General features: G+C 40.2%; 1 protein-coding gene and 1 long non-coding RNA gene across 3 annotated transcripts in view; one reads left to right on the top strand and one right to left on the bottom strand.

The window, feature by feature from the left end:
• Positions 1 to 18,210, bottom strand: part of LOC107987435 (uncharacterized) — a 96,284-nt gene that overhangs the window by 10,456 nt on the left and 67,618 nt on the right. The gene's annotated exons all lie outside the window — the stretch shown is intronic.
• PRB3 (proline rich protein BstNI subfamily 3) lies at positions 5,473 to 9,266 on the top strand. Of its 2 annotated transcripts, NM_006249.5 has the most exons (5): positions 5,473 to 5,574; positions 6,512 to 6,547; positions 7,032 to 7,580; positions 7,707 to 8,004; positions 9,151 to 9,266. In NM_006249.5, exons 1-4 carry the CDS (start codon positions 5,511 to 5,513, stop codon positions 7,985 to 7,987), a joined length of 930 nt encoding a protein of 309 aa, NP_006240.4. In that variant the 5' UTR covers positions 5,473 to 5,510; the 3' UTR covers positions 7,988 to 8,004; positions 9,151 to 9,266. The 2 variants fall into 2 exon arrangements, with proteins under 2 accessions (NP_006240.4, NP_001381791.1); NM_001394862.1 differs by having other exon boundaries at positions 7,032 to 8,004.

The raw sequence follows: 18,210 nt of genomic DNA, 5'->3' as shown, positions 1-18,210 counted from the left end.
TCTGCATCAAAGTTTGATCATTCTTCTTCAACTGAATCCTGTGCATTTCTTGCTATTTGATCTTAGGTATTTTATATTGTTCTCATGAATAAGGTCATTCTCTCATTTCTCTCTCTCTCTCTCTCTGTGTCTCTCTGTCTCTTTCCTTGCATTGTCTTATGCTGTTCCCTGTGAAGTGTATGTCTTAGGGAAAATCACTCGATCACATTAAGATTTTACTTTTTATTTTTATTTTAAATATATATATGTTTTATTATACTTTAATTTCTAGGATAGATGTGCAGAACGTGCAGGTTTGTTATATATGTATACATGTGCCATGTTGGTGTGCTGCACCCATTAACTCATCATTTACATTAGGTATTTCTCCTAATACTATCCCTCCCCCCTCCCTCCACCACACAACAGGCCCCGGTGTGTGATGTTCCCCTTCCTGTGTCCAAGTGTTCTCATTGTTCAATTCCCACCTACGAGTGAGAACGTGTGGTGTTTGGTTTTTTGTCCTTGCGATAGTTTGCTGAGAATGATGGTTTCCAGCTTCATCCATGTCCCTACAAATTTACATGTATATACATTTTAGTGCATATTCTGCATTAAAGTTTGATCATTCTTCTTCAGCTGAATTCTGTGCATTTCTTGCTCTTTGTTCCTAGGTATTTTATATTGTTTTCATGAATAAGGTCATTTTCTCATTTCTCTCTCTCTCTCTCTCTCTCTCTCTCTCACTCTGTCGCTCTCCTTGCATTGCATTATGCTGTTACCTATGAAGTGTATGTCCAAGGGAAAGTCATTCAATCATATTAAGATTTTATTTCTACCTTTGAAAAGTGAACATAAATGCAAAAAATCCTCAAAGTGCTATTGTAAGTACTAGAAGAGCTAAGGCATCTGAAACATCACTATGCAAGGTAGATAGGAATAATCCATAAATCTTTAGCTATGTAGCCATGCATGTGTAGAAATATAATATGTGGTATAGGTAGGAATTGGGTCACTGAAACAAACTTGTTTATTGAATATTGTTTAGCGATAATTTTGTATCCAATCATTTTTAAAATGAATGTTCTATCCCTGTCTCACAGCATGGGCTTCCTCGCAGCATGTGGCAGGTTCCATAAAGAACAGTTTGGAATTGCATGGCATTTCTATGATCTAGACTCAAAAGTCATAAAGTATCACTTCTGATATAATCTATTGGTCATGGCAGTAACGAAGTTCTAACGAAGCTCAAGGGGGTAAAAACAGACCTCACCCCTTCAAGAGAGGATGTCAAGGTACCATTGTAAGAAAACATTAGATGAATGATTCTGTCGTGATCAACTTTTAAAAACACAATGTGCCACACATTCCAATTCCCAAGATGAAAAATATGCATACATGTGGATTTCAATATCAATGAAATAAAATAATAATTTGTGGTTTTTAAGCAGAAGAGAAAACGTCTTTTGTAAGAAATAGGTACAGGTTTATCTGTTTAATAAGTGAGTCATTGATTAATCACTTTAATGAAATTCCTCTTAAATGTATCAGCTTACCGACTTGGTACATCATCAGGAAAATACGAGGGTGATATACATTGCTTTGTATTTCTTATGAGATAAGTTGTGATTGTACTTCTCTATGAACTGCTAGGAAGTGTAACTGAAAGGTCAAGAATACACTCTGACATTGAGATAACAGTGGTGAGCTGAGGCTACAGACACTTGACCTTAGGCTGATGACCAATGCCTTCTACAGCCCCAACCACTCAGGATGGTACACCAGCTCTGGGGCCAGGACACAGGCGACATCTTCATGCAGAATATGAAAGCTGTGTAAGCGGTGTACAATTTATCCTTTCTTAGACAACTCTCTGATCAGACTCCCTCTTGGATTTCTAGAATGTTAATTCCATTGTGATTAGAAGGATCAAATTTAGTCAATTTAAAAGGGCATACACAAATTTTGCCAATGCTAATATGCTACCCAAGAAAAATGCATGTAGCATGGATTAAGGAAGTACATACAGGATCTACATTGACAGAGTTTTGTAACTAGGAAAAAAAGGAATTAATTCCCCTGAGTATCTTTATATAAATGCAAGGGGTAAAGCAGAATACTAGAAGACATTTTAAATGTGATTACGATTTCAAACAAACATGTTTACTCAGGAAAATATATTTTTTCTCACCTCAGCTGTTAAAGTCTCAGGAAAATTTAACCTTGAAAATATTCTAAGAGAAACTTGTTTTTCTTCTCTGAATCTCATTTCCTTTCACTTTCTTGTAAAGAAATGAATGAATGAAGACCAAGTAACCAGTGAAGCACAGTAGGCAAGAACTCAGATCTGAGAACTGACTCCCTTCCATTCCACTCACTACCTTTACATGAACCTAGGCACGCACCTAAATCACCTCATCTACAAAATTAAGATAATAATAATAATCACACCTCCCTAATATGATAGTTCTGAAGACTGAATATCATAGTAAATGCTGAAGAAGTGTTTTCTATTATAATCAGCCTTTGCTAGGATAAATGGAAAGAATATAAATATGCTCAAATAATTGTGAAATATATATTTAGAGAGCATCAACATCAAATAAAAATATAAAGATGACCATCACATAATATATATTATGTTATCATATAATATATAGTATAATATAATATAATATAATATAAAGATGACAATTACATCAGTGTAACCGAAGCTTTTAGACAATTCCAAGCAAATCTGAATTCTCACACACAACCGTATTATTAGAATGGCTGGTTTATGCAATGAGCACAGTAAGTTGAGGAAAATTCTGCTTTCTGTTCCGTTCACAGAACTTCCCAGTCTTCAAAAAGAGAGAGATGTGTGGGTGTGAGAGAGCTAATGCTGGGGTAGGAATGTTACCAAGAGCAGCTGAGGATATTAAGCTCTTCAGGAGAGTGCATCGTGGCCTGAACTATCACCTTCTAGTAAAGATTATGCAAGTGGTTTTATTTGGGATGAGTGTTGAAAGTGGAGGCAACTCAATTTGCTAAAGGACAGTGCCTGAAGGGAGTGAGGATTTTTGAACCACTGAACACCTGTTAGTGACTTAGAAAAGGTTGGGAGTTGTTATGAGAGCTGAATTGTGTTTCCTAAAATTTCATATGTTGAAGACTGTTCCTTCAGGGCCTCAGAATATGAACATGGATATTAGAAGGCAAGTGGAGTGCTGAGGGCTGCCACTCACCTCTAGATGCCCAATCTCCTGCTGCAGTCCTGCTCCTCTCTTCCACCCACCCTCACTCACAGACAGTGTCCCTTTCCACATTTCCATCACTTCTGTTTTTGTTTTGTCTGGTTAGTGCATAGCTGATATTTATGCTTTCCTGATACACTTTACTCATTGCTGACATTGGAGAAAGTCAGGGAAAGGGCCTGAGATAAGGGACTTTTAGGGGCATTTCTGTTGTCTTCCTCTACTCTCCTGCCAAGGACAAATCTTTCTTGTATCAGGCCTGCAGCAACCTAAGTTGGCGACAACATCAGGCAATGTTGGCCTGGCCTCTCTGCTGCTCCTTGTTTCTGACATTCCTTTGTTACCTGATGGTCTAACTTAAGACACCTAGGCAGGATTGGTCATCTCCAGTTCCTATGGAGGAGACCAGAGATAGAAATCTCAATAATATAATGGGACCTGCTGGCACAAGCAAGTACTCTCTGCCTAAGATAAAACTCATGAAGACTAGCTAGAACCAGTCCACTTTCCATAGAGCCAGAAATAATTTCCAATTAATAATATATTCCCCTTTCAAGTATGTCTATATTTTTGCCAGGGAAAATATCAATCTTCCTGGTTCCCTTGCAAGGGCAAAGTTATCTGTAGCAAAGCCTTCTGTATTAGGAAGTCTTCCTGTACTATTACCCCCAACTCTTCAGAAGGGCCAGACCAGACCCTCATCTGCACAGTCCAGGATCCACTCATCCACAATGGTCAAGAGGTCTGTCTTTAGGATTTACTGTCACATACCCTCTCTACCTCCATCATACCTCCAGCCAAGCTGTCCTCAAATTAATACCAGCCATGCACAAAATGTGAACAATTACACAAGACACACAGAAGGTCTAAGTGGTAAATGGCAGCTGACTCACTGACTAACCTGTATATTCCATGAACTGATGAGCAGGGATTTACTAGGTATAACAGAAGAATCAGCAGCTAAAAGAAGTGCTAACAATGCAGGACTCTGAGAGGGCTTTTTGGAAACACAACATTTATTGTGAAATTACACAGACAAGAATGAAACAAAGGTGGTGAGAATTATAGCTTATTACTTAGAAGATTAAATAAAGGAAATCTTACCAAATTCCTGGGGAAAAAAGCCAGATATATAAAGAAAATTACACAAAATGAGCTTGACTCAGAAAATAAAATATGAACAAAGAAGTACCAGAAAGAACGTCAGGGAGGAATGCATATCAGAATATTGTAGAAAAAATACTCTTTGTGGAAGAACAATCTGAGAAAACAGGTAACACAAATACTGACTAAACCAAGAAAACCAATACAATGCAATTGAGGCTTTAATGAGGGTATCTGATTACCTTATTTGAATGTAGAATTGTAGCCACTTAATTATCAGAGGTAGGAATTCAATACAATTCTTAAAAGAAATGAAGCAGAGGGTGAATTTTGTAGAATATTCTAGAGAAAGGGAAGAGCATGAAGGAAGTTTTGGCAACATGATATTGCATGGTTCCTGCAAGGAACTATATATTCAGTTTTCTCAGGTCTAGAAATTTCCTCGTGGTTTGTGTGTCCATTTTGCATTCATAACCCCTAAAGATACTTTAAAATACACAATTTTGGCCTTCCTGTGTTTCACAACAAGAAGCCTTTCCTGACTTGAGTGAGATCCACAGAAGCATGAACAATAGCTGTAGCCTGAGTAGGCTGTGAGGCAGCCTTCTGTCATCTGTGTGCCCAGGAGTGTGCTGTCCTCAAACATCTCCCAGATAGCAGAAACTATCTCTATCGCATCAAAAGTTAAGCTAAATGTGATACTCTCTGTACACACACATCACGAGAGATGGAAATAGGCTATAAAAACAGCCAGAGATATTGATCATCATCACCGCTGGCTGTAGCTTCACTGCCCACACACACATACACAGAAATAAATAGCAAAGTTGAAAGTGGACAATAGTCTTACCAAAAAGATTGAAACTCTAATGACGTCTGAAGTTCAATTATGACACCGTGCTGATTGCTTGGACACAGTTCCTTTAAAACCTTTGTTCAAGTCATAGTTGTACCTTTTAGAAATAAGGTACAAACAACATCCAACCCAACCTGTTCCTCTGGGCTAGAGTCCCAGACAGAAATAAGGGATACACCTGACCTGCAGTAAGGAAAGCAGAACCCAGTCTCTGGGGTGGTGAGGCCCACCCAGTGTGGAGCTCAAAGGTGCCACTGTTCTGCTCCTCTTTATAAAGGGAGCTGCCATGGTTCTCCCAGCACAGAGTTGGGAGTGACTCCAGAGCCTCCAGCAAGATGCTACTGATTCTGCTGTCGGTGGCCCTGCTGGCCCTGAGCTCAGCTCAGAGCTTAAATGAAGGTAAGACAGAAGGAGGAGAAGATGTGGTGACTCTGCTTGGGGCTTAGGAGGTGATAGTTGTAATTATGGGGAAGAGAGGAGAATGAAAACACAGATGGGGCTGCAGAGGTTTCATGCCTAGGATCAGGAGACCTGTTGTGCCCTCATTCCACACCAAGGGCTTCTAATTTATTTAATGTACAATGAAAATCCAATAAAGAATTTGTACCAGGGGAATGAGAAGGTAAGATTTGCATTTATAGAGAGATAGAACTGTGCTGTGAAGGATGCAGTGGTGAATGCAAGGCAGATTCAGGAAAGTCCAGCTGTGAAGATCCTAAACTGATCTCAGTAAGTACACAGGGATGATTGTGGCCTTGCTCTACCTAGTGGATCAGCATTGATGATGGAGATAAACACACATTAGAGATACTGCAGAGACAGAACTGGATAAAACACTTGCCTGTGTCTAACTACAGATATAGAAATATCAGATTCAATCATTGTGATTTTTCTTTCCCCTACACACAGTATTTCAATGTGCTGGGAGTGGTATAGGTAAGATTGTATTGAAACAATTACTTCTGGTTACCGAAATTGAGAAAGCTTGTGAATATAAGCAATGTATTTATAGGAGATGGAGGGCATAAGAATACCAAAATATCACATTGAAGTACCTGGCATGTGTAAACTAAATTAGCATTAAGTCTTGAAGGATGCTAGGGAAGAAAAAAAGGGGCTCTTCTATATTGAGTTCATGGCTGTTGCTCTGTGTGGTAACAACCCTGCCTCCCCTTACACCTTCCTCCCCTTCCAGCAGCTTCACAGATGGTAGCTGATGAGCTAACCTAGGGGATGCATGGGGTGTGGTGAGAAGTCCCCTTTCCCTGTAGAACACCTGTGAATCTTGCAAAATTCGAGATGTAACCTTTCCCATCATCCTGTGCTTCTCTTCTAGATGTCAGCCAGGAAGAATCTCCCTCCGTAATATCAGGTAAATCCCAATTCACTCTCAATCTGTTTTAACTATCTTCTTCTGCTTATGAATGGATCAGTTCTCCAGTGTCTTCTCACCAACATTTTCCTTTAGAAATTGATTAATATTAGTCCCCCTAATAATGCAGGCAATCTTCATGCAACCTTGATTTTGGGGACCATGAGCAGGGCCACCAAATTGAATGGCAGAGATGCTTGGCTTAGATGAAAACGGGAGTGGGTTGACTTCCCTCCTGCCAGGAGTGCCTGCTGGGAGATGACAGACAAATGGCCAGTGTCCTTATTCTGACTCCTCCTTAGACTGAGAGCCCCTCAACTGCTTCCTTCTTCTCCAGCATTCCACTCCAGAGTTCTAGAGCTTCACTGAAAATGCAAAGAAATTAGTGTCTGGGTCTTATTTTTGTGCATTTCCCCATTTAGCTGCGTTACTGTAAAAATTTGCGGCAACTATTCAGTGAATGCCGTGTGTCCACCTCCTCCAGGAAAGCCAGAAGGACGACGCCCACAAGGAGGAAACCAGCCCCAACGTACCCCACCTCCTCCAGGAAAGCCAGAAGGACGACCCCCACAAGGAGGCAACCAGTCCCAAGGTCCCCCACCTCGTCCAGGAAAGCCAGAAGGACCACCCCCACAAGGAGGAAACCAGTCCCAAGGTCCCCCACCTCGTCCGGGAAAGCCAGAAGGACAACCCCCACAAGGAGGAAACCAGTCCCAAGGTCCCCCACCTCGTCCGGGAAAGCCAGAAGGACCACCCCCACAAGGAGGAAACCAGTCCCAAGGTCCCCCGCCTCGTCCGGGAAAGCCAGAAGGACCACCCCCACAAGGAGGAAACCAGTCCCAAGGTCCCCCGCCTCGTCCGGGAAAGCCAGAAGGACCACCCCCACAAGGAGGAAACCAGTCCCAAGGTCCCCCGCCTCATCCGGGAAAGCCAGAAGGACCACCCCCACAAGGAGGAAACCAGTCCCAAGGTCCCCCACCTCGTCCGGGAAAGCCAGAAGGACCACCCCCACAAGGAGGAAACCAGTCCCAAGGTCCCCCACCTCGTCCGGGAAAGCCAGAAGGACCACCCCCACAAGGAGGCAACAAACCTCAAGGTCCCCCACCTCGTCCAGGAAAGCCAGAAGGACCACCCCCACAAGGAGGAAACCAGTCCCAAGGTCCCCCACCTCGTCCAGGAAAGCCAGAAGGACCACCTTCACAAGGAGGCAACAAACCTCAAGGTCCCCCACCTCATCCAGGAAAGCCACAAGGACCACCCCCACAAGAAGGTAACAAACCTCAACGTCCCCCTCCTCCAGGAAGGCCACAAGGACCACCCCCACCAGGAGGCAATCCCCAGCAGCCTCTGCCACCTCCCGCTGGAAAGCCCCAGGGACCACCTCCACCTCCTCAAGGGGGCAGACCACACAGACCTCCCCAGGGACAGCCTCCCCAGTAATCAAGGTTCAATGACAGGTATGATTCCAGTTTATTCTTCACCAAGTGCTCTAAGTGTTACAGTTCTCCAACTTTATTGTGCCAATGAATCAACTAAAAACCCATTGACATTGTATTGTCCTAGAACCCATTTCTAAAGATTTGTATTCAGATACTCTGGAATAGGGTAAGAAGACCCTGTATTTCTAACAAACTCTTTAAGGAACTCTGATGTTGAGAAACAACATACCATACAATCTGTCTTAAATTGTGTTGGCAATGAGGAAGTAGTACCATGTCCATTCTTGGTGCTCTGCTTTCGGTCCACAAACTCAGAGATATTGCATTTAAATTTTTCACCTGAGCACTGTTTGCTCATTCCTGCCTCACGCCAGCCTCTCGAGTCCAGTATTCCTGCCAAATGGTCCCTGATCTTTCAGCAGCTAAATGGTGTCTCATTTTTTACATACTTAGTTTTCAGTAAGTACATGATTAAGCTAACAAAAGATATCTAATGGAATGGAAAAATATGAAGTTAATTTTAAAGGCGTAGCTCATCCTACTCACCTTCCTTCCTTCAAAAAGCTACCACTGTTGACTTTATGGGATCTTCTCTTTGAAATATTTATGTGTGCATAGACATACAGCATTCTTTTACCCTACCACTAATACCATAACTTATATGCAGGTATATATGGTAGTCATTTAAAAATACACTTCTTGAAAATTTCCACATCAGTTTATGAAGCTAAATACATCTCTTCAGTGGTTTTCTGTTTGCTTTTACAATTTTATGCTACTCCATTGTGTGGCTGCACCATGATTTCTTTAATCAATCCCTGTCACTGGATACTGAGGGTGGTTTCATCTTATCACTATTATAAAATAGGTTCTGATTATCATATGTGTAAATATATCCCTGAACAAATTCAACAGCAATGAGTCATAACAACCTAAGGATGATCTTTTCTCTTCATCTTCTCAGCAACAATTTGGAGCACATTGTGTGCAAGGGCATCAAAAGAGTGAACACAGAAAAAATCAGGAAAGAATCACAGGAGGTTGAAGGGATTGGGGAGAGAGGATGGGATCTCATGTACTCTACTGCAGTAACACCAGTGAGGAATTCGACATTTCCTGCCATGTCAAGTCTGCTCTATGAAATTCCTTGTTTGTTTGTTTCAGGAAGTGAACAAGAAGATGACAGTGATTCAAATGATTCAAATGCCATGACATTGGAAGAAGGTGGTCATAGCTCTACCTTTAATATACCAATAAAATAAACAGCTTACAATTTCTGATTGTGGTGTCTCTTTCTCAGTGTTTGTGAATGTGGAGTGTGAGGACCAAGAACACATTATAAGAACATCTAGGACCCCTTCTCTTTGATGCTTCCAGGGAGATTCCCTCCTCTTTAATCCTAATTTAGCCAGCTGCCATGAAAAATATTTTACTGTTTATCTCCTTCCCTGACTTCTATTTTTTTCTTTTTCTGAAATGGAGTCTTGCTCTATCACCTAGGTTGGAGTGCAGTGGCATAATCTTGGCTCACTACAACCTGCATCTCCTGGATTCAAGCTATTCTCCTACCTCACCCTTCACAGTAGCTGGGATTACAGGATCCCACCATCATTCCTGGGTAATTTTTGTAATTTTATGTGAGATGGGGTTTCACTCTGTTGGCCAGACTAGGCTAGAACTTCTGACTTCAGGTCATCTGCTTGCCTCGGCCTCCAAATATGTTGGGATTACAGGAGTCAGCCACCATGCCTGGCCCTTCTCTGGCTTCTACAGCACAAATTGAAATTTTAAAATTATTTTCAGATTGTTTACTGATATTCCAGTAATTTTAAGGACAAAAAACACAACAAATGGAAAATAAGTCATAGAAACTAAAAGAAATCCCTATAATTTCTAAGAAACTGAGTTTGGTTTCAAGTGAATGAATATGGGTCTGTGCTTCTTATCCCTAGAACCCTCTCTATCCCATTGACCCTATTTTAACAGTGATCACTTCTCTCCCTCCCTATGTTCCTCACCTTTCTTTAATGAAACCTGAATGGATTTCATCAAGAAGTCAGCATGACTTTTAGGAGCAAAGAACTGGGACACTCTCAGATTTTAGTTAAGACATAACTCTTTCTTGCTAGCTCTGAACTCTTAAAAAGCTACTTGGTCTCTCAGAGCGTCAATTTCCTTATCTACAATGAGAAGAATCATAACAACTACCTTAGAGTATGGAGACTATTCAGATAACATACATACCAAAAACCTTGCAGAGATTGGCATGTCTGCTTCTCAAGCAAGGAAGGTTCAATATTAGAAAACTGCCCCTGTGCCCACCGATAGCCCAGATAATTCACTATGAATTTCAGAAAAATTGGAATAGAAGGATCTTGCCATAATCACCACCAAGTTGAGCAACCCACATTCAGTTCAATCCCAGTTCTCTGGCTTCTCTCCTATTACTGTAGTTGAAGCCTCCCTACCCCTATCTCTTACCTACCCTCATGACTCTGAACCACATTACCCAATCAAGGATTTTGCTTCTGCATGTGACCCTTTTGTCTCCTGATTCTTACATCTATGCTCTATGGGATTACTTCAATCAGCAAAAACCTGCTGAAACATCACCCATTTCTACAGAGGTTTTGCTAAGACTCTTAGTGCTTCTTTCCTACCATATTATTTGTCTGCCATTTGTATTGCAAAAGTTCTTGAAACGTATGTATGTGATTATTTCCCCATCCCCTCCCTTCCATTTTTTTTTAAAACACACATTAAAGATGCTTTTGTTCTTTCCACTCCAAGTCTGTCAAGGTCATCTACTGCCTCCATTCTACTCATTTCAGGAATCAATTCTCAGTCATCCATCTCCTGTGACCCCTCAGCAGTTTAACACCATTGATCCTACCCTTCTTTGGGGAACACTCTATCAGTCTTTCCTGGAACCTCCTGTTCTCTTCCCTGTTTTCTTCTACCTCTGTCTCTCCCTCCTACAACTACAGAATTACTCCTCTTCCAACTCTATTTGCTCTTGGTAAATTATTCTCTAATTAATTAAGGAAACTAGGATTTATTCTAGACTCTTTTCCTCTTACATCACATTACATCTAGTCAAATCAACTATGTTATCATTGTGAAGTTCAAGCTTCAAAATAATTTCTGACTGCAGCCAGTTTCATCACTTTCATATCTATCAGCCCATCTAAGCAAGCCTCACCTGCAGTTTACACCAAATAGTTCTATTTATTTCCCAACAATCAATTACCCACCTTGGCCATTTAAAAATTATATTACTTTTCTATGTTTTCCAGTTGATGGCCACCACTTTTACTCTCTAAGAACAAGATGCTAATTTTCAACTATCCTAAAGTCCTATGTATTGAGCCCTAACTATCTCTGGAATTGGTGGCTGCTCTATACCTAATTCATTCTGCTATGGCCACACTGGTCATTGCCTCTTCTTTTTAATGGTGAGGATGGGGGAGCAGTATGACTAGAGTTTCTGTTATTTTTTAAAAATTTTATTTGCACAAATGTATGTATTACAAGTTCAGTTTTGTTACATAGATTACATAGTGCATAAGTCACAGCATTAAGGTATTCATTATTCAAATAACAAACACTGTATTTATTAATTAATATCCCAATATTCAACCCCTCTGCCTTCCACTTCCAAGTCTTCATTGTGTATTATTTCACTCTCTTCATCTGTGCATACACATTCTTTAGCATCCGCTTATGAGTGAGAACATGTTATATTTCATTTCCTGTATCTAGCCTGTTTTGCTTAAGAAAATGACCCCCAGTTCCATCCATATTGCCACAATATATGTGATTTCATTCTCTCATTATGAGTGAGTGGTATGGCATTGGGTATATATAATTACATTTTTAACCCAATCATTCATTAATGGACACTTTGGTTGATTCAATATCTTTGTTCCCATGAATGTTGCTACAATAAACATACAGATAAAGGTATGTATTTGTTACACTGACTACTTTTCCTTTGGGAAGATACCCAGAAGTAGGGTTGCTCAATGCAAATGTAGTTCTAGTTTTAGTTCTTTGAGAAATCACAGTTCTCCACAGAAGCTGTACTAATTTACATTCCCACCAAGTGTGTATAAGAGTTCTTCTTTCTCCATATCCTTGCCAACATCTCTTCAGTTTTCACCCTTTTAATCATAGTCATTCTGACTGAGGTAAGATGATATCTCATTACGGTTTTCTTTTCTTTTCTTTTTTATTATACTTTAAGTTCTGGGATACACGTGCAGAAGGTGCAGGTTTGTTACATAGGTATACATGTGCCATGGTGGTTTGCTTCATCCATCAACCCATCATCTAGGTTTTAAGCCCCGTGTGCAATAGGTATTTCCCCTAATGCTATCCTTCCCCATGCCTCCTGCCCCCTGAAAGTCCCTGGTGTGTGATGTTCCCCTCCCTGTGTCCCTGTGTTCTCATTGTTCAACTCTCACTTATGAGTGAGAACATGTGGTGTTTGGTTTTCTGTTCCTGTGTTAGTTTGCTGAGAATGATGGTTTCCAGCTTCATCCAAGTCCCTGCAAAGAACATGACCTCATCCTTTTTTATGGCTGCATAGTATTCCATAGTGTATATGTGCCACATTTTTTTAATCCAGTCTATCACTGATGGGCATTTGGGTTGGTTGCAAGTCTTTGGTCTTGTAAATAGCATGGCAATAAATATATGTGTGCATGTGTCTTTATAGTAGAGAGATTTATAATTGTTTGGGTATATACCCAGTAATGGGATTGCTGGGTCAAATGATATTTCTGATTCTAGATCCTTTAGGAATTGCCACACTGTCTTCCACAATGGTTGAACTAATTTACACTCCCACCAGCAGTGTAAAACTGTTCCTATTTCTCCACATTCTCTCAAGCATCTGTTGTTTTCTGACTTTCTTTTTTTTTTTTTTTTTTGGAGACAGAGTCTGGCTCTGTCACCAGACTGGAGTGCAGTGGCCTGATCTCAGCTCACTGCAACCTGCACCTCCTGGGTTCAAGTGATTCTCCTGCCTCAGCCTCCTGAGTAGGTGGGATTACAGGTGCATGCCACCATGCCTGGCTAGTTTTTGAATTTTTTCTTTTTTCTGGACAGAGTTTTGTTCTTTTTTGCCCAGGCTGGAGTGTAATGGCATGATCTTGGCTCACTGCAACCTCTGCCTCCTGGGTTCCAGCGATACTCAGCCTCCTGAGTAGCTGCAATTACAGACATGCACCACCATGCCTGGCTAGTTTTGTATTTTTAGTAGAGACAGGGTTTCACCATGTGGGTCAGGCTGGTCTCAAACTCCTAACTTCACCTAACTCCACCCACTTTGGCCTACCAAAATGCTGGGATTACAGGCATGAGCCACTGTACCCGGCCTGTTTCCTGACTTTTTAATAATCACCATTCTAACTAGCATGAGATGGTGTCTCATTGTGGTTTTGATTTGCATTTCTGTAATAATCAGTGATGATGAGCTCTTTTTCATGTTTGTTGGCCACATAAATGTCTTCTTTTGAGACATGTCTGTTCATATCCTTCACCCACTTTTTGATATGGTTGTTTGTCATTTTCTTGTAAATTTGTTTAAGTTCCTTGTAGATTCTGTAAATCAGACTTTGTCAGATGGATAGACTGCAAAATTTTTCTCCCATTCTGTTGGTTCCCTGTTCACTGTAATGATAGTGTCTTTTACTGTACAGAAACTCTTTAGTTAATTAAATCCCCTTTGTCAATTTTGGCTTTTCTTGCAATTGCTTTTGGTGTTTTAGTCATGAAGTTTTTGTCCATGCCCATGTCCTGAATGGTATTGTCTAGGTGTTCTTCCAGGGTTTTTATGGTTTTTGGTCTGACGTTTAAGTCTTTAATCCATCTTGAGTTAATTTTTGTATAAGGTGTAAGGAAGGGGTCCAGTTTCAGTTTTCTGCATATGGCTAGTCAGTTTTCCATACACCATTTATTAAACAGGGAATCCATTCCCCATTGCTAGTTTTTGTCAGGTTTGTCAAAGAGCAGATGGTTGTAGATGTGTGGCGTGATTTCTGAGGCCTCTGTTCTGTTCCATTGGTCTATATATCTGTTTTGGTACCAGTACCATGCTGTTTTGGTTATTGTAGCCTTCTAGTATAGTTGAAATCAGGTAGCATGATGCCTCTAGCTTTGTTCTTTTTGCTTAGTATTGTCTTGGCTATATGGGCTCTTTTTGGTTCCATATGAAAATTTAAAGTAGTTTTTTCTAATTCTCTGAAGAAAGTCAATGGTAGTTTGATGGGAATAGTGTTGAATCTATAAATTACATTGGGCAGTATGGCCATTTTCACGATATTGATTCTTCCTATCCATGAGCATGGAATGTTTTTCCATTTGTTTCTGTCCTCTCTTACTTCCTTGAGCAGTGTTTTGTAGTTCTCCTTGTAGAGGTCCTTCACGTCCCTTGTAACTTGTATTCCTAGGTATTTTATTTTTTGTATCAACTGTGAATGGGAGTTCCCTCATGATTTGGCTCTCGGCTTGTCTGTTATTGGTGTATAGGAATGCTTGTGATTTTTGCACATGGATTTTGTATCCTAGGACTTTGCTGAAGTTGCTTATTAGCTTAAGGCGTTTTGGGGCTGAGACCATGGGGTTTTCTAAACATACAATCATGTCATCTGCAAACAGATTCAATTAGACTTCCTCTCTTTCTATTTGAATACCCTTATTTCTTTCTCTTGCCTAATTGCCTGGCCAGAACTTCCAATATTATGTTGAAGAGGAGTGGAGAGAAAGGGTATTCTTGTCTTGTGCCAGTTTTCAAAGAGAATGCTACCAGTTTTGCCCATTCTGTATGATATTTGCTATGCGTTTTTCATAAGTAATTCTTAATATTTTGAGATGTGTTCCATCAATACTTAGTTTATTGAGTATTTTTAGAATGAAGAGGTGTTGAATTTCATCAAAGGCCTTTTCTGCATCTATTGAGATAATCATTTGGTTTTTGTCATTTGTTCTGTTTATGTGATGGGTTGTTTATTGATTTCTGTTTGTTGCACCAGCCTTGCATCCCAGGGATGAAGTTGACTTGATCATGGTGGATAAGCTTTTTGATGTGCTGCTGGATTCAGTTTGCCAGTATTTTATTGAGGATTTTTGCACTGATGTTCATCAGGGATATTGGCCTAAAATTTTCTTTTTTTGTTGTGTCTCTTCTAGGTTTTGGTATTAGGATGATGCTGGCCTCATAAAATGAGTTAGGAAGGAGTACTTCTTTTTCTATTGTTTGGAATAGTTTCAGAAGGAATGGTACCAGCAGCTCTTTGTACCTCTGGTATAATTCGGCTGTGAATCCATCTGGTCCTGGGCTTTTTTTTTGTTTGTTTGTATGTTATTAATTACTCCTTCAATTTCAGAACTTGCTATTGGTCTATTCAGGGATTTGACTTCTTCCTGGCTTAGTCCTGGGAGGGTGAATGTGTCCAGGAATTTATCCATTTCTTCTAGATTTTCTAGTTTATTTGTGTAGAGGTGTTTATGGTATTCTCTGATGATAGTTTGTATTTCAGTGGGACAGTGGTAATATCCCCTTTATCTTTTTTTGTGTCTATTTGATTCTTCTCTCTTTTCTTCTTTATTAGTCTGGCTAGTGCTCTATTTATTTTGTTAATCTTTTCAAAAAACCAGCTCCTGGATTCATTGATTTTTTGAAGAGTTTTTCGTGTCTCTATCTCCTTCAGTTCTGCTCTGATCTTAGTTATTTCTTGTCTTCTGCTAGCTTTTGAATTTATTTGCTCTTGCTTCTCTAGCTCTTTTAATTGTGATATTACGGTGTCAATTTTTTATCATTCCTGCTTTCTCTTGTGGGCATTTAGAGCTATAAATTTCCATCTAAACACGGTTTTAACTGTGTCCCAGAGATTCTAGTACATTGTGTCTTTGTTCTCATTGGTTTCAAATAACTTATTTATTTCTGCCTTAATTCTGGAACTGCTTGCTTAGTTTCCATGTAGTCATGTGTTTTTGAATGAGTTTCCTAACCCTGAGTTCTAATTTGATTGCACTGTGGTCTGAGAGACTCTTTGTTATGATTTCCGTTCTTTTGCATTTGCTTAGGAGGTTTTACTTCCAGTTATGTGGTCAATTTTAGAATAAGTGTGATGATGTGCTGAGAAGAATATATATTCTGTTGATTTTGGGTGGAGAGTCAGGTAGTTATCTGTTACGTCCACTTGGTCCAGAGCTGAGTTTAAGTCCTGAATATCCTTGTTAATTTTCTGTGTCTTTTATGTGTCTAATATTGACAGTGGGGTGTTAAAGTCTTCCACTATTATTGTGTGTGAGTTTAAGTCTCTTTGTAAGTCTCTACGAGCTTGCTTCATGCATCTGGGTGCTCCTGTATGGGGTGTGTATATATTTGACAGTTAGCTCTTCTTGTTGCATTGATCTTTTTACCATTATGCCCTTCTTTGTTTCTTTTGACCTTTGTTGGTTTAAAGTCTGTTTTATCAAGACTAGGATTGCAACTCCTGCTTTTTTTTGCTTTCCATTTGCTTTGTAAATATTCCTCCATCCCTTTATTTTGAGCCTATGTGCATCTTTGCACACGAGATGGGTCTCCTCAGTACAGCACACTGATGGGTCTTGACTCTTTATCCAATTTGCCAGTCTGTGTCTTTTAATTGGGGCATTTAGTCCATTTACATTTAAGGTTAATATTGTTATGTGTGAATTTGATTCTGTCATTATGATGCTAGCTGATTATTTTGCCCATTAGCTGATGGGGTTTCTTCATTATGTCGGTGGTCTTTACAATTTGGTATGTTTTTGTAGTTGTTGGTACCAGTTTTTCCTTTTCATGTTTAGTGCTTCCTTCAGGAGCTCTTGTAAGGCAGGCCTGGTGGTGACAAAATCTTTCAGCATTTGCTTGTCTGTAAAGGATTTTATTTCTTCTTCCCTTATGAAGCTTAGTTTGGCTGGATATAAAATTTTGGGTTGAAAATTCTTCTCTTTAAGAATTTTGAATATTGGCCCCCACTCTCTTCTGGCTTACAGGGTTTCTGCAGAGAGATCCACTGTTAGTCTAATGGGCTTCCCTTTGTGGGTAACCCGACCTTTCTCTCTGCTTACCCTTAACATTTTTTCCTTCATTTCAGCCTTGGTGAATCTGATGATTATATGTTTTGGGGTTGCTCTTCTCGAGGAGTATCTTTGAGGTGTTCTCTGTATTTCTTGAATTTGAATGTTGGCCTGTCTTGCTTGGTTGGGGAATTTCTCCTGGATAATATCCTGCAGAGTGTTTTCCAACTTGGTTCCATTCTCCCCGTCACTTTCAGGTACACCAATCAAATGTAGGTTTGGTCTTTTCACATAGTCCCATATTTCTTGGAAGCTTTTTCATTCCTTTTCATTCTTTTTTCTCTAATCTTGTTTTCACATTTTATTTCTTTAGGTTGACCTTCAATCTCTGATATCCTTTCTTCTGCTTGTTCAATTCAGCTATTGGTACTTGTGTATGCTTCACAAAGTTCTTGTGCTGTGTTTTTCAGCTCCATCAGGTCATTTATGTTTTTCTCTAAACTAGCTATTCTAGTTAGCCATTAGTCTAACCTTTTTTCAAGGTTCTTAGCTTCCTAGCATTGGGTTAGAACATGCTCCTTTAGCTCAGATGAGTTTTTATTACCCACCTTCTGAAGCCTACTTCTGTCAATTTGTCAAACTCATTCTCTGTCCAGTTTTGTTCCCTTGCTGTCAAGGAGTTATGATCATTTGGAGGAGAAGAGGCATTCTGGTTTTTGCAATTTTCAGGCTTTTTGCACTGGTTTCTCCCCATCATCGTGGATTTATCTATGAAGATTTATCAAAGACCAAAGTCTTTGATGTTGGTGACTTTCGGATGGGGTTTTGGTGAGGATGACTTTTTTGTTGATGTTAATACTGTTCCTTTCTGTTTGTTAGTTTTCCTTCTAACAGTTAGGTCCCTCTGCTGCAGGTCTGCTGGAGTTTGCTGGAGGTCCGCTCTAGACCCTACTTGTCTGGGTATCACCAGCAGAGGCTGAAAAACAGCAAAAATTGCTACCTGTTCCTTCCTCTAGAAGCTTTGTCCCAGAGGGGCACCCAGCGGATGCCAGCCAGAACTCTCCTGTATAAGGTGTCTGTTGACCCCTGCTGGGAGGTGTCACCCAGTCATGAGCCACGGGGGTCAGGGACCTACTTGAGGAGGCAGTCTGTCCTTCTGCAGAGCTCGAG

This window comes from Homo sapiens, chromosome 12, assembly GCF_000001405.40.
Source record: "Homo sapiens chromosome 12, GRCh38.p14 Primary Assembly".
Lineage (NCBI taxonomy): Eukaryota > Metazoa > Chordata > Mammalia > Primates > Hominidae > Homo > Homo sapiens.
The sequence above is the reverse complement of the archived record's forward strand: the minus strand, read 5'-3'. Positions and strand labels throughout refer to the sequence as shown.